Source organism: Homo sapiens, chromosome 14 (assembly GCF_000001405.40).
Source record: "Homo sapiens chromosome 14, GRCh38.p14 Primary Assembly".
Lineage (NCBI taxonomy): Eukaryota > Metazoa > Chordata > Mammalia > Primates > Hominidae > Homo > Homo sapiens.
In genome coordinates this window covers 105,381,319-105,393,804 of record NC_000014.9, presented here as the reverse complement: position 1 = coordinate 105,393,804, position 12,486 = coordinate 105,381,319, and the positions used below count along the sequence as shown (strand labels likewise).

General features: G+C 62.6%; 1 protein-coding gene across 16 annotated transcripts in view, besides 2 other annotated features; it reads right to left on the bottom strand.

The window, feature by feature from the left end:
- PACS2 (phosphofurin acidic cluster sorting protein 2) overlaps positions 1-12,486 on the bottom strand; it is a 97,374-nt gene that overhangs the window by 4,343 nt on the left and 80,545 nt on the right. For 6 of the 16 annotated variants that reach the window (XM_017021111.3, NM_001243127.3, XM_017021110.3 and 3 more), the window contains exons 13-23: positions 11,759-11,891; positions 11,224-11,328; positions 10,892-10,998; positions 10,292-10,446; positions 9,342-9,452; positions 8,818-8,926; positions 3,802-3,844; positions 2,556-2,598; positions 2,039-2,174; positions 960-1,186; positions 470-583 (exon numbers count right to left, since the gene is read on the bottom strand). In XM_017021111.3, the coding sequence (XP_016876600.1) occupies positions 470-583; positions 960-1,186; positions 2,039-2,174; positions 2,556-2,598; positions 3,802-3,844; positions 8,818-8,926; positions 9,342-9,452; positions 10,292-10,446; positions 10,892-10,998; positions 11,224-11,328; positions 11,759-11,891 (1,283 nt within the window). Of the gene's footprint in view, positions 1-469; positions 584-959; positions 1,187-2,038; positions 2,175-2,555; positions 2,599-3,801; positions 3,845-8,087; positions 8,121-8,817; positions 8,927-9,341; positions 9,453-10,291; positions 10,447-10,891; positions 10,999-11,223; positions 11,329-11,746; positions 11,892-12,486 lie in introns of all 16 variants that reach the window. The other 10 variants (XM_017021112.3, XM_006720090.3, NM_001100913.3 and 7 more) reach the window with 3 other exon arrangements.
- Positions 2,281-2,781: an enhancer, noted in NCBI's record as "H3K4me1 hESC enhancer chr14:105857361-105857861 (GRCh37/hg19 assembly coordinates)". NCBI's record gives its function as "activates a minimal SCP1, AML or CMV promoter by ChIP-STARR-seq in naive H9 embryonic stem cells {active_cell/tissue: H9 hESC(naive)}" and the evidence as "EXISTENCE:reporter gene assay evidence [ECO:0000049][PMID:30033119]".
- Positions 2,782-3,282: an enhancer, noted in NCBI's record as "H3K4me1 hESC enhancer chr14:105856860-105857360 (GRCh37/hg19 assembly coordinates)". NCBI's record gives its function as "activates a minimal SCP1, AML or CMV promoter by ChIP-STARR-seq in naive H9 embryonic stem cells {active_cell/tissue: H9 hESC(naive)}" and the evidence as "EXISTENCE:reporter gene assay evidence [ECO:0000049][PMID:30033119]".

Below are 12,486 nucleotides of genomic sequence, written 5' to 3'. Positions count from 1 at the left end.
AGCCTGGCCAACACGGTAAAACCCCATCTCTACTAAAAATACAAAAAATTAGCCGGGCGTGGTGGCACGCGCCTGTAATCCCAGCTACTTGGGAGGCTCAGGCAGGAGAATCGCTTGAACCTGAGAGATGGAAGTTGCAGTGAGCTGAGATCACACCATTGCACTCCAGCCTGGGTAACAAGAGCAAAACTCTGTCTCAAAAAAAAAAAAACCAAAACAAAAAACAAACAAGAAAAACGAAACAAGTCATTATTTTTAAAAAGCAAAAAGGGTTGAAAAAAAATTCTTTCTCAGCATTTGGAAGGTTGTCAGCCTCACTGAGGGCTTCATCGAATGTGCTTGCACCTTGAATCGTGGAATGTGCGTGTCACAGCGAGACACCCGCAGCTCCTAGGCTGGGCTCCAAAGCAGCCTTGCTGTGCTCTCACCTACGTCCCACTCTACAGACCCCGGGGCCGGTGGTGCTCACCCCGCAGCATGTTCTGCTGCTGCCTGGCAGTGCAGATGAGCCGGCTGATGCCCTCAATGCACTGGCTCTTAGACTCCACGTCCTTGTCCTTCGCTTTCTTGGGCAGAAACATCACTGGGAGGAGAAAAGAGGCCCTGCTGTCATCTTGCTGCTCCTTCGGGGCTGGGGCCAGGGCCAGGGGTACGTGTGGGGGAGGCACTGGGGGCTCAGCTGGTCATGGCACTGCTCACCTAGGAAACCTGCCTTCCACGGTGACTGAGGACAGCTGCTCTCCTGCCCACCCAGCTGGCCTCCGCCTGAGGCTCTGGTCAGAAGCACCTGACCCTCACTGCCCTCAGGATTCAGGCTCCCTCACCCCACCCGCCCCTGCCTGCGCATGTGGGCTGCCCGAGGCCAGCCCGGGGGCTGTCATCCCTGTTGACTGCGAGCCGCCCTCTCCCACAGAGCCGCCCTTCTGCGCCGTGTGGCCTTATAGCCTGCCCCACCTCACCCTTCTTGTTCTTCTCCTTGGTGACCACGGTCATGGACATGGTGGGCGTGGCTGCAGCCTCGCCGCTGCTGGGCAGCCTGCTGACCTGGAGGGACCGGAAAGTGCACTTGAGCGTGTTTTTGGTGACAGGCAGGTCCTTCTTCTCGGCGTCCCTCTTCCTGTCCGCAGGCTGTGCTGCCGTCCAGTAGTCCACCTGCAGCCCCATCAGCTCGGCGCCGACACCCTGGCTGGGAAAGGCAGAGGGAGGCATTCACACCTGCATCTTTGGGCCTAGTGATGGGGACATCACTGTCCCTGTGACAGGCCAGGAGGTGACAGCCAGCACCTGTGCCAACTTGCCAGCAGAGGAGGGCCGGGTGCTTGGAGCATGCTCTGTGGAGCTGTTCACATGCCCAGTCACCCCCACAAGGGTCCTGCTTAAATTACAGGGACCCTGGCGACAGGAGAGCCTCGGCCTGGGAGGCCTGTCCACCTGCTCTCCAAGCTGCCCCTTGGAGTCGTGAGGGCCCGTGCGAACCAGCTCCCTCAGGCGCAGCCTGGAAGGAGCCGGCGGCTGGAAACACAGAGGCAGGGGGGTCGGGGGGGTATCTGCTGGTGTGAGCCCTGCACGCAGCACCAGCACCACGCCTGGCCTCAGGGCCCACAACCCCCCATGGCTTAGTTCCACTTGAGTGAGGTCTGCTCCGGAGAGACCCGGGCGGGCTAGCGGGGCCTCAGCACAGCTATCGAAGCTCATCCCATGAGGACCGTCTAGAGACTCACGTCTCTTGCACCTTCTGCCCTCAGCTTGTTTTTTAAAAGCCCCAACTGTGTACAGAGCTGAGAGACAGCCCAGCACAACGCCCATGTTTATTCACTGTGCAGGAGTTTCTGTCCCCCAGAGGTCCTGCCCCCAAACACCAGATCTGTGGCAGGAGGTGGCCAGAGAGGACCCAGCCGTCCTGCAGAGCCCCTCCGCCTTCGTGGCTGACAGGCCAGGTGCCCTGGGAGGTGGATGTGACATAGGGGAGGATGACTGAATCAGGCAGCATGTGGTGGGGCGGGTAAGTGAAACGTGCTGAGCCGTGAGGCACCTTTACCTGGGGGAGGACAGGCCTCCGCTCACCGACGGGGAGGAGGGCGGGGTGGGTGAGGCCTCCTTGGCCGCAGGAGATGCGGACGGCGGGGTGGAGGAGAGCGTGCCAGAGCCCGAGGGGGCCGCGTCGTCCGAGTCGCCTTTGGGGAGGAGTCACAGGGCAGGCTGAGCCCACCTGCTGCTCTGCCCGGGTGCCACCAGGCCCTCCGGACCAGGATGTGGCCAGGCCAGGCAGCTCCTGGGGGTGGGCAGGGTGGGAGTCCCCAGTGGCCTGTGAGAGACGGGAGGGTCTCGGATTCTCCTCGGTTTTTGGAAGACAACCCTGCCAGCCTTGATGTGGGGCTTTGTGACAGCAGTCCTTGGAGGATGAACCCCCCGCAGGACAGAAGCACCACAGCAAGACTGGGACGTGGCGGCTCTCAGGCCCTGAAAGGTTGATCTGGTCTGCAGGACTCGAATGACCGTGCTCCTGCAGCCCACCCACGGGCCACTCACAAGGCCTCAGGGTGGGACGGGGTTACCTGATGTGGCCGAGGATGGCTCCACAATTCCAACCTTCACAACCTAGAAAACAACAGGCACTGGCTGGTGAAAGCCGTGCAATTCAGCTAGCCCAGCGCCCTCCCAGTGGGGCTCCCGCCTCCCCACCGTGGCCACCACTCCCATGATGCTGGAGCGGCCAGGTGGTGCCAGCTCCCTCCTGCCCTTCTCTCCCCATCTGTGGAGCAGAGCTGAGCTCAGAGCAGCCATGTGGGGACAGACAGTGCTCAGGGTGCGTGGCCTCAGCAGGAGGGACTGCTCTCTCTAAAGTCGGCCCTCAGGGCAGCTGCAAACTATGTGTGCAGTAAAAACAGGACGCTGGTGAGAGGGACCTTGGCGGGCCGACGGGGATAGGCCCCGGACCTGGCAGCCACGAGCCACAGGCGGCTACGTAGATCTACCGTGAATCCCAGTGACACCGCAGGGCCTTGGTTGCATGGGAAGGCCTGTGTGCCCGAGCACAGTGTACTCTTGTCACCGGAGAAAGCTCTTTGGGCAGCCGCTGTTCAAGACGAATTCCACCCTCCCAGAGGGCCAGCCATCGCCCCAGAGCCCTCAGCAGACCCAACCACTGCACGGTGCACAAAAAGGCCTCTGTTCCACCAGTGGGGAAACCGAGGCCCAGAGACCCTTCCGCTGCCTGGGCAACCTGTCTGCCAGGCCCTGTGGGTCTGTCTCACAGCAGACACCTGGCGGGAGGGAGGCCACACAACAGAGCGAAAAGATGGCAGGAAACAGGCTGTGGAGACCCAGGGCTGGCAGGGAGATGGCCTGGCTGGCAGAAGCAGCCCTAACCCTGGGCAGGGCAGGAAGTGAAACCCACACACTGCAGGCTGCAGCCCAAGTGAGCACTGGGAAGCTCCCGGGGCCTTGGGCTCCTAAAGGACAGAGGCGCCCTCCCCAACCCGGGCAGGCAGTCTCTCCTCTCCTGAGACGTGGGGCCAAGCCTCCTGGGTGTTCTGAGGCCTCGCCCCACCGACCTGTCTCTGCTTCCATTTATCAGCCCCCAAGGCAGAGCTAAGGGGAACTAACAACCTCTGGCCCCACACCCCACTCCAGCAGGGAAGGAAGCGAGCTTTGAGACAGGCCAGATGGGAAGGCAAATCCCCAGCTCGTATCTGTGGGAAGGTTCTGGAATATATCGAGTCAATCCCCAAACGTTCTGACTGTAAACGACAAGTTGGCAGGTGTGCGGTTTCCCATCACATAAAGCTGGCCAGTACTCACCCCGACAAAGGGAATGAACTTTTGGGAGGACTCTTCGTCAGGGCTAAGAGCAAGGAAACAGACAGTTAAGCTCTCCTCAGGGCACAGCCCCGCCTGGTGGGCACAGCTCCCTCTTGGCCTGAGAACCTGGCGCAGCCCTGGGGCCGCGGCCCTGCCGGATGGCCCTGCCGGACAGCCCTGCCCTGTGTGTCCCGGCCCCACCCATCTCCAACCACTGCCAGCCCTGGCCTGGCCCCCAGGACCAACGCCTGGGCCCCTTCTGACATGCTGACATGCTGGAAGGACAAAGGGGTCTCTGTGCACCCATGGTCAGGAGGACAGGCCAGAGGGCACAGCTCCACGGAGGGATTCACTCTGCCATCCTAGGTGCCCGACGCCCACACAGCCAGCTCAGCCCTGTCCGGCTTGCATTTCCACTTCCCCACCAAGCTGGGCACCCCTGCTCTGCTGGGGTTAGGGCAGCTGCCAGTGCCCTGGGACTCCCAGGAAGAGCCTGGGCCCTCTCTGGTAATCAGCAGCACCAAAGCCAGGGTGCAGAAGTTTTCTCCAGACTATCTGGGTAACGTCCATGCCCACATAAGAGGCCAGGCTTTGGCTGCAGTGGGCCTCCATGTTCTACCAGAACACCCCACGCACAGCCTGCAGGCAGGCCCAGCACACCCCAGGCCGTGCCCCGCGTGAGCTGATGTACTCAGCGGGCAGTGGAGGTTTTGCCTGGACTTGGCCCCATACAACATCTGGCAGGTAACAGCAGCCTCTCCTGGAAGTCTGGTCACAGCCCGTCCACACGAAGATGCCAAGGGTGGAGGACAGGAGCCGCGGGGCCGCTGAGGGGACCCGTCTGTCTTCCCCTCCGACGTGTGCAGCTCAAGCAGGGCTGTCCTGTGGTCCAGCTCGCACAGGCTCCTGCTGACTGTGCCCACTGCAGCCTGGGCTTGGGCCCAGGGAGCTCTCCCACAAGACAAGGGGCCAGCACAGCATGAGGCCCCGCCGGCAGCTAGGGTGAGGTGAGGGCATCTCCTTCTGGGCCCCAGGAAAGATCCAGAGGGCAGGGCCTATCCTGAGTGGTGGGCTGGGTCTGGCTCTCCTCTTTCCTCCTCTCCCCTGGCCTCAAGGCCCCCCGTGGCCTGCACGTAGGGACAGAGGTGCCTCCCCGCCCAGCTTCCTCAGCCAGACCGCATCAGCAACTGGTGCCTTCTCTCTGGGCAGCTCCCTCAGCTGTTTCTTCTGTCTCATTTCCCCAAACTGCAGAGTCTGATGCCGGCAAGTGGCTGTCTTACAGGCGGAGACTGTGCACACACAGTGCAGAGGAGCACCTGTTGCCCCTGGAGCGCCGGGGGCAGGACGAGAATGGCCAGGCCAGCAGGGTGGCCCTCAGGGACAGCCCGGCACCAGGTGCAGAACATGGGCTCGCACAGTGGCCCCGGCCCTCCCTTGGGTTGTCGTCCAGCACAGGGTCATTCAGAGAGAATCCCTTGCAGGAAACAGGCCCAGCGGAGGATGCCACAGGCCCAGCCCAGCCGTCTGCCTGGAGCACCAGCTCCCAGGACCAGCAGCGCTATCTCCTCAAGAGCCCTGCAGGGCAGAGGCTTGATCCCAGTGCTCCCCACAAAGTGTGCCCACAAGTAAAACAGCCTCTGCCCGGCAGCCGGTCCAGAGCACACTCCCAGGAGGCAGCCTCTGCGGCTGGTCCCAGCAGGTGCCTTCCCTGTCTTCGCAGCGCCAGTGTGAGGAGACGGCGGCTGGCAAGACCCACCCTCCCCAGACGCCAACCTGGACGGCTCCTGGCCCACCCTCTGCAGAAGACCTGGCAAATGCCTCTGGATGAAACCACCTACAGATTCCTCCCATCCCATTAAAGATGCCCCAGGCCTAGTTCCATTTCTAAGGAGAAGAGTTGAAACTTTCCCCTCTTCTTGTCCATTTCAAATAACATAAAGCGATGCAAATCCTGTGTTGAGGCCCACCTCTGCCTCAGGGCGGCCTCCTGGCCCCCCAGCACCCTGGCTGTGTCCACAGCTGTCAGGCAGGAGTGCCTGGACGTGGCCTTTGACATCCCACTATCCTTGTTGAGCAGACCAGTGTTTGGAAATCTGTGACATCTGTGTCCTCCCAGGCACGCGAAGGCACAGAAGACAGGTGGTGGCTGCTGGTCCCCAGGGCATGGGTGGCTCCAATTCCCAGGGCCACCTGCCCTCTGCCGAGCCAGACCCCCCCACCGAGCCAGCCATGGCAGGCTGGCCTCCCATCCATGCTCTGCTCCGAGGCCCATGGGGCAGTGCGTGGCAGATGAGGGCCGAATGCAGGAGACGTCACAACACAGGGATGTTGCTGGAACTCTCAAAGCCAAGCTGCGCCTCTGGGCCATGCAGACAGCACCCAGCCCTGGACATGGGCCAATATGACAGGGGTGACACCGGCTGGACACTGAGACCCTCATCCTGACCCTGGAGGCACACACATGTCTGTGGAGGCAGTGTGGTCAGGAGTGTAAGGAGCATACCACCGTGGCGTGGGGAGGCCCCGCGGGCACGGAGGGCACAGATGCCTTGGGGGCCACTCCGCATGGCCCTGGGCAAGCTGCCGGATGCCTGAGCAGCCCTTTCCACCCATGCGCTGCACGGGCAGGCTGGGGCTCGAGGCCGCCCTCCAGGCCTGGCCTGCCCTCATAGGAGGAGTGCCATTCTCGGCAGAGGAGGGCGGGCCAGCAGGAGTCACCTCACGAGGGACTCTCGCAGGGGAGCCTGGCTGGAGAGGGCTCTGCACAGGTCCCCCGTCACAAGGGCTGTGCCACCGCCTGCACTCTCTCAGCCTCCCGACTGACCCTCCTCTGGGTACAGAGAGCAGGTAAGACACTTATGGCCTTTGCTGGGTTCCTTCCAGGACCCCAGGCAGCCAGTGTCACCCTTATAACGTGGAGGCAGCCAGTGTCACCCCTGCAACACGGAGGCAGGGGCAGGAGGTGCAGGGTGGGAGTGGGTGTAAGGCCCCCTAAGGCCCTGGCTTGCTGCTTGGAAGAGCTGACCTGGGAGATACAAGCAGCTGCGTCCACGGCCTGCGGCGGCCGGGCGGCCAGAACATGCTGCAGGCTCCTCGTGCCACAGCCAGGGGGCAAGGGCGGAGGCTGCTGGGGGTCAGCAGGGGAGGCCCCCACGGCTGGTCTTTCACCTGTGAAGGCTTGTTTAGCAGGACAAGACATAGGATGTTCAGCCCCCTTCCTGTGTCTTCCCAGCGCCCAGCCCTACAGCTGTGGGTGGTCCCAGGCTGCCCACTTCGAGCAGCTCCTAGGCCAGCAAGGGGGCCCCAGGGACCCAACTACCCTGCACTGAGGTCAGGGGGTTGGGGGGGTTTCCTAGGACAGCAAATGACCTCACACAGGGCAGAAGACACGGGGTAGAGAACGAGCCCATGGGAGGACCAGCAGGGGCCCCCACCCTGCAGCAGGACACACCTGGCCAAGGAAAAGGGGTGGCTCTGTCTGAAAGGGCAGCTTTGGGGGTGCCTGGGACTTGGCTCTGAACATGAAAGGTTGTAGGGGGTGGAGCTGCCTCGGAATGAAAACTCTTTACCCCCATTTGGAGGTCTCGGTAGTTTGGCCCCGTCTCCAGGTAAGCCACAAGATGCTGGAAACCCCTCTCTGCTGGCCCCAGGTGCTCGAGGGAGCCCTGGGAGCCAGGCTCTGCAGTGTGTAGGGGGCCCAAGGCACAGCCGCTGACCACCGTGTCACCAGGCCAGCTCCTTAACTACTTGCTTGGGCGTCCCCGTGTGTAGGGCGTGCACCCGTGCCCCTGCTAGGCTGCTGCCAGCTTCACAAACGTGAAGGGCCTGGGAAACAGCCTGGCCCAGGTGATCCTGGTGTCCACACCAGCCACTCGCTCCTGGTTTAAAACGAGGAGGGGCTAAACCTGGCCACTTCTTAAATCAAAACCCAGGGTCAAAACAGAGCCGGGGAAAGGCCTGCCTGGCCGACCTGCAGGCTTCAGGGCTCTGGGGTGGAGTCCCAGCACACGGGCCTGGCCAGGGACAGGAGGGCCCATCTGCTGCTCTCCTGACTCAGTGTCAGAGATCGGATGGAGGAAAAGGGTCCACGTCAGCAAAAAGTGACTCGGGTTGGGGCCACTTCCCCTCTCCCGTGCGGGCTCTCAGCCTGCAGCTGGTGGCCCTCAGGGCCTGACTCCCAGTCCGGAGAGAGGACAGCGGGGTGATTCCTACGTGACTCTGCCAAACAAGCCCTGAAGACCAGCCTGGGGACAGACAGGGTGGGAGGCAGACCCACAGAGCCGTACCTTAGGGTAAAGTCAAAATGAAAATGCTTTTTCCTTTTCAGAAAGCCACCAAAAGAGAAAACAGACACGTTACGACGCCCTCAGGACCCCTCCAGGGACCGCCGAGGGCACTCAGTGGCTCCCATCTCACTGGGGCTCCTGCGTGGGAGAGCCCGTGAGCGCTGGCTTTGCGCCTTGCACTCGGCTCTCTCCCCTGTAGTCTAGGGAAGGTGTGGGACAGTGGCGCCAGATGTGCAGGGAGGAGGCGCCGGGCGGGACAGACAGGTCTCCGCAGGACTTTCGGCCGGGGGCTCCTGAGCACCGTCCTGCTCTGGGCAGGTGAGGACACGAGCTGATCACTCACCCACAGGGCCCGAGGCCCAGGGAATCCTTCGTTCCCCAGCCCGAGAAACCCAGGCTGTGGAAGGAACAGGTGCCCAGACTGGAGGGGCTGGGCCACTGCCACCCTGGCCCCATGACAGCTATCCATTCTGTCAACTTCTTATCACGCGGGGTTTCAACATGCACAGAAACAGGTGCGGAAATGGCGCTTACTATGAGGGATCTGGGGTGCGGGGAAGCACCTGCTGTCAGGGAGGCCCAGAGCTGCCCAGCTGGCCCAGGCTCTGGTCTAAGCCCGGTGCAGGGCTCTGCGGCCCACCAGGCCAAGCCCAGCAGCGGGTGGGGAGGCCCACGGAGGGTTGGTGGCTGGCGGCAGCCTGTGGTATGGTGCCTGGGCCCACCGCGTTACCTCTTCTGCTTGTAGGTCAGCATGGCCTCTGCGATGGGGAGCTGGTGGGCACAGTTGGCCCCTGCGATGTACTGCGTGATGCGTGACACAATGTCTGGCGTGTCCTGTACTGCAGGGGGAGGAGGCGGTGGGGGGTTAGGCTGGTGCCAGGTGGGGTTGCAGGCGGGGCTAAGCTGGGCCTCCCCGGTGCCCCGCCCAGGCCTCCCGTACCCCGAAGCGCGGCAGGGCTCGCTGGTTGCAGCTGAGGGGCCCTGGTGCTCTACTCTCGAGGCAGTACCAGGGCAAGCGTGGGAAGACCTGAAGGGCTGTGCCCGCCCCTTCCCAGACAGGCCCCACAGCTTCCAACATTCCAAGGCTCAGGGGAATAGGAGGCATCCTGGCCAAGGCCCCAGCAGGCCCTGTCCATGGCCTCTTCCCTGAGGCTGAGCCTGAGCAGGTGCAGGGCCTCCTGGGCACAGCATCTGGGGAAACCGGGGCCCCTTCCTCCCGCCGTGGCGTGGGCTGTGGACGCGCCCGGGCCTCACCCGCACTCTGGGCCTCCAGCTTGTTGAACAGGTCTCTCCAGGCCAGGTCCTGGAAGAAGTTGTTGTAGCGGTAGTCCACGGAGCCTAGGTACCTGGCCACGGGGTGGGAGCCTGCATGCCAGGGGTGGGGCTGGTGTCACCACGGGGGACTCGGAGCTGCAAGGCTCCCACCGCGGCACAAAAGCTGGGCCACCCGACCCCAGGCCTGTGCTGCTGCCTTCCAGACAAGCCCACTTTCCTGCCACCGAAAGAGAAAGCCACCACTGCCCCTCCCTGGTGGATGCCTGTGGCCCCGCTGAAGGAGCTCCAGCCCTGAGCTGAGGTCCCAGAGCCCTGAGTGCCACTGAGGAAGGCCCAGCAGGGCACATGTGACCGTGCAGAGGCCTCGGCTGGCTCAGGGCTCTGACGTCGGCATCGTGAGGGCCACACGGGAGAGGTGTCGCCTCCAGGCCTTGCTGCTGGTCAACAGATTAAGGCTGGGTGGGTTTGTTTCGTGGTAAGACACATCGTATGGACCTAAAGAAGTAATGGAGTTCGACGACACAGGACCTGGACGATTTGAGAGGATTAATAACGAGCCCTGCTTTGCACTTCTGACTTTGGAAATCGAAACTGGCATAGAGTTATCACAGCGACTGATGGAGGAGACACCCAGCTCAGGCCCCTTCAGAGGGCGATGGCTTTATCTTGACCCAAATGGCTGTTTTAGGGCAATCAAGTTATCTTGCATATAATTAAAATTAACAAAGTGTTACTGTATCAAACAAACATTTAAAAACAACAAATGTGTAGCAAGCAGGGACACCACGCCATGCCACACCGCGCCACACCACGACACACCGCGCCACGCCACGCCACACAACACGCCACGCCACGCCACACCACTCCATGCCACGCCACACTGCCCGTGGCATCTGTGCCCAGGCCCAGGTGGACGGCGTGGTGCTCACCCAGTGGGATGACCAGGAAGCGCATGTAGCCGAGCCAGTCGGGTGTCTTGTGGGACAGCTGCTCCACAAAGAGCCGCAGGATGGCACTGAGGTAATGCTGCGCTCCCGCCACGGCGATCTTCACGGGGGTCGGGGGCTGGGAATTGCAGTTGCAGCTGCAATCCAGAGGCAGGTGGGACGGAGAGGGGACAGACGCCTCAGGGGAGCCGTCCTCCATCCAAGGATGCCAGTGTGAGCCCAGGGGGCTCCGTGCCTGTGGCCGCTCATGCCACAACTGCCCTGGAGCTGCCCAAGCCCAGGACCCCCACATGCCCAAACGTGCCCAGGCTGAGGGACCACACAGTCATGGCCTCAGCCCAGGCTTCCAAGGACAGGCCAGGAGGCCACCACTCCAGTGTGGCAGGACACCCACCAGGCTGCTGCTCCCGCCCACAACTGAGGGGAGGCCAGGCTGCGAAGAGCGCATGGGTCAGCCTCTGTGGACACCAGCCACAGCCCCAGGTCCAGGACGCACCTAGCCCCGGAGCAATGGGCAGAGGTGGGGGTGCAGGGACCCCGAGGGGTACTTGGGTGGTGAGTACAGGGTGGAGCCCAACTCACTATCTCTGTATCCGTGAGACGATGGTGCTGAAGGCCGCCTGGACGTCCGCAGGAGAGCACGTGCACACCACGGGGAGCGTGTGCCTCTGCAGGACGTCGGAGAGGAACTGGCAGAAGACAGGCAGACGCTGACTTCGGCACAGCCGCCCAGGCCACCCCCAGCACCTGACCCTCACCAAAGCTCTCAGGGGCTCCAGAGACCCCAGGCACGTCCAGGCAAACCACAGCCAGCAGCTCCAGCACCCAGGTGTGCCGGGTAGGGGGCAGCTTCAGGAACCCACTCTCCTCTGTCCTACACCCTGACCCTCCACTCCAAGAGACTGCCCCTCTACCTGCCCCTGCCAGTCCGAGGTGTTGACAAGGATGATGTTTTCGGGAAGCTGGTCATCGGAGATGAGGATGTGGTTGAGCTGGTCATACACAGTCTTCCTGGGGATCTGGAGGCACAGAGCCCTGTCCACACCCAGAAGAGAAGCACAGCGCCCATCCCCACCACGCCAGCCCTGGTGCCTGCAGTGCCCCTGCTCCCCCTGCAGCCACAGAGGCTCGGTGGCAGGAAGAGAGCTGGCCAGCTTGGAGAACTGCCCTGGGCTAAATCAGCCAAGCAATGAGGCTGCCCTGGACCAGGGAGGGCAGCAGAAGGACTAGAACTTGCCCTGGGGTCCACATGGTCTTCCTGACAAACCAACCCATGGCCCGCCCGCCCTGCTGTGTAGCAGGAGCCCTCCAAAGCCCAGGCATGCTCTGTGGCCCAGCACCCTTGGCCCCCTGTGCTTCTCTTTTTGCCCTGCTCTGGTTGGTGCCAGGGTGACCACGAGCCCTGCCTCCTGGGCGTGCCACGCCCTCCACCCCCACCTGCAGCTGCACCTGTAGCTGGCTCCGGGCGTCCGGGCAGCGCTCGTTGTCCAGGCTGTTGGCCCGCTCATTCTGGGGCCGTGCTGCCTGCCGCTCCTTCAAGGATGTGCTCCGGCCCCGTCGGCCAGCCTGCTTCCCCTCGGACCTATTGGGGACCAGGACAGGCTAAGTGGCTGTGGCAGCAGGAACAGGAACAGGGGCAGAGGCAGGGGCAGGCCTGCAGTGGCCTACACATTGTGGTGGGGACAGGGAAGGGTGAGCACAGGGCTGACTGATGGGCAGTGGGAACATGGGCTGCACAGAGAGGTCACCAGCCCTGGGAGGGCCACAGCAGCAGCTGAGTACAAGTGAGGCCGTGCCTCCGATGGGACCCCACACAGCTCTGCCTGTGAGACTTCGAGCCAGGCCAGGAGGCTTGGAGCCACCGTGAGGACTGAGCTCACCCTCCCTGCCCGGGCCAAGAGCTGGGCAGAGCCAGGTGCAGGCCAGTGCAGGGCACTGAGGCTGCCAGGGCGACCTGGCTCCAAAGCGCGGACACAGGCACCTGCGTGCCACCACAAGGTAAAAACCAGTGCCCAGACTCGCTGCTTTGGAAAAAGTCCCAAATATCACAGAAACATGAAATTGAAATCCTGGAAGAATCAAGCTGGTGTATGTGTGTCTTTTGGCTGAGGCAGGGGCTACTCAGGGGGATGTGGGGGCACCTGCTGGAGGGCAGACCCGCCTGACCCTGCCCTCAA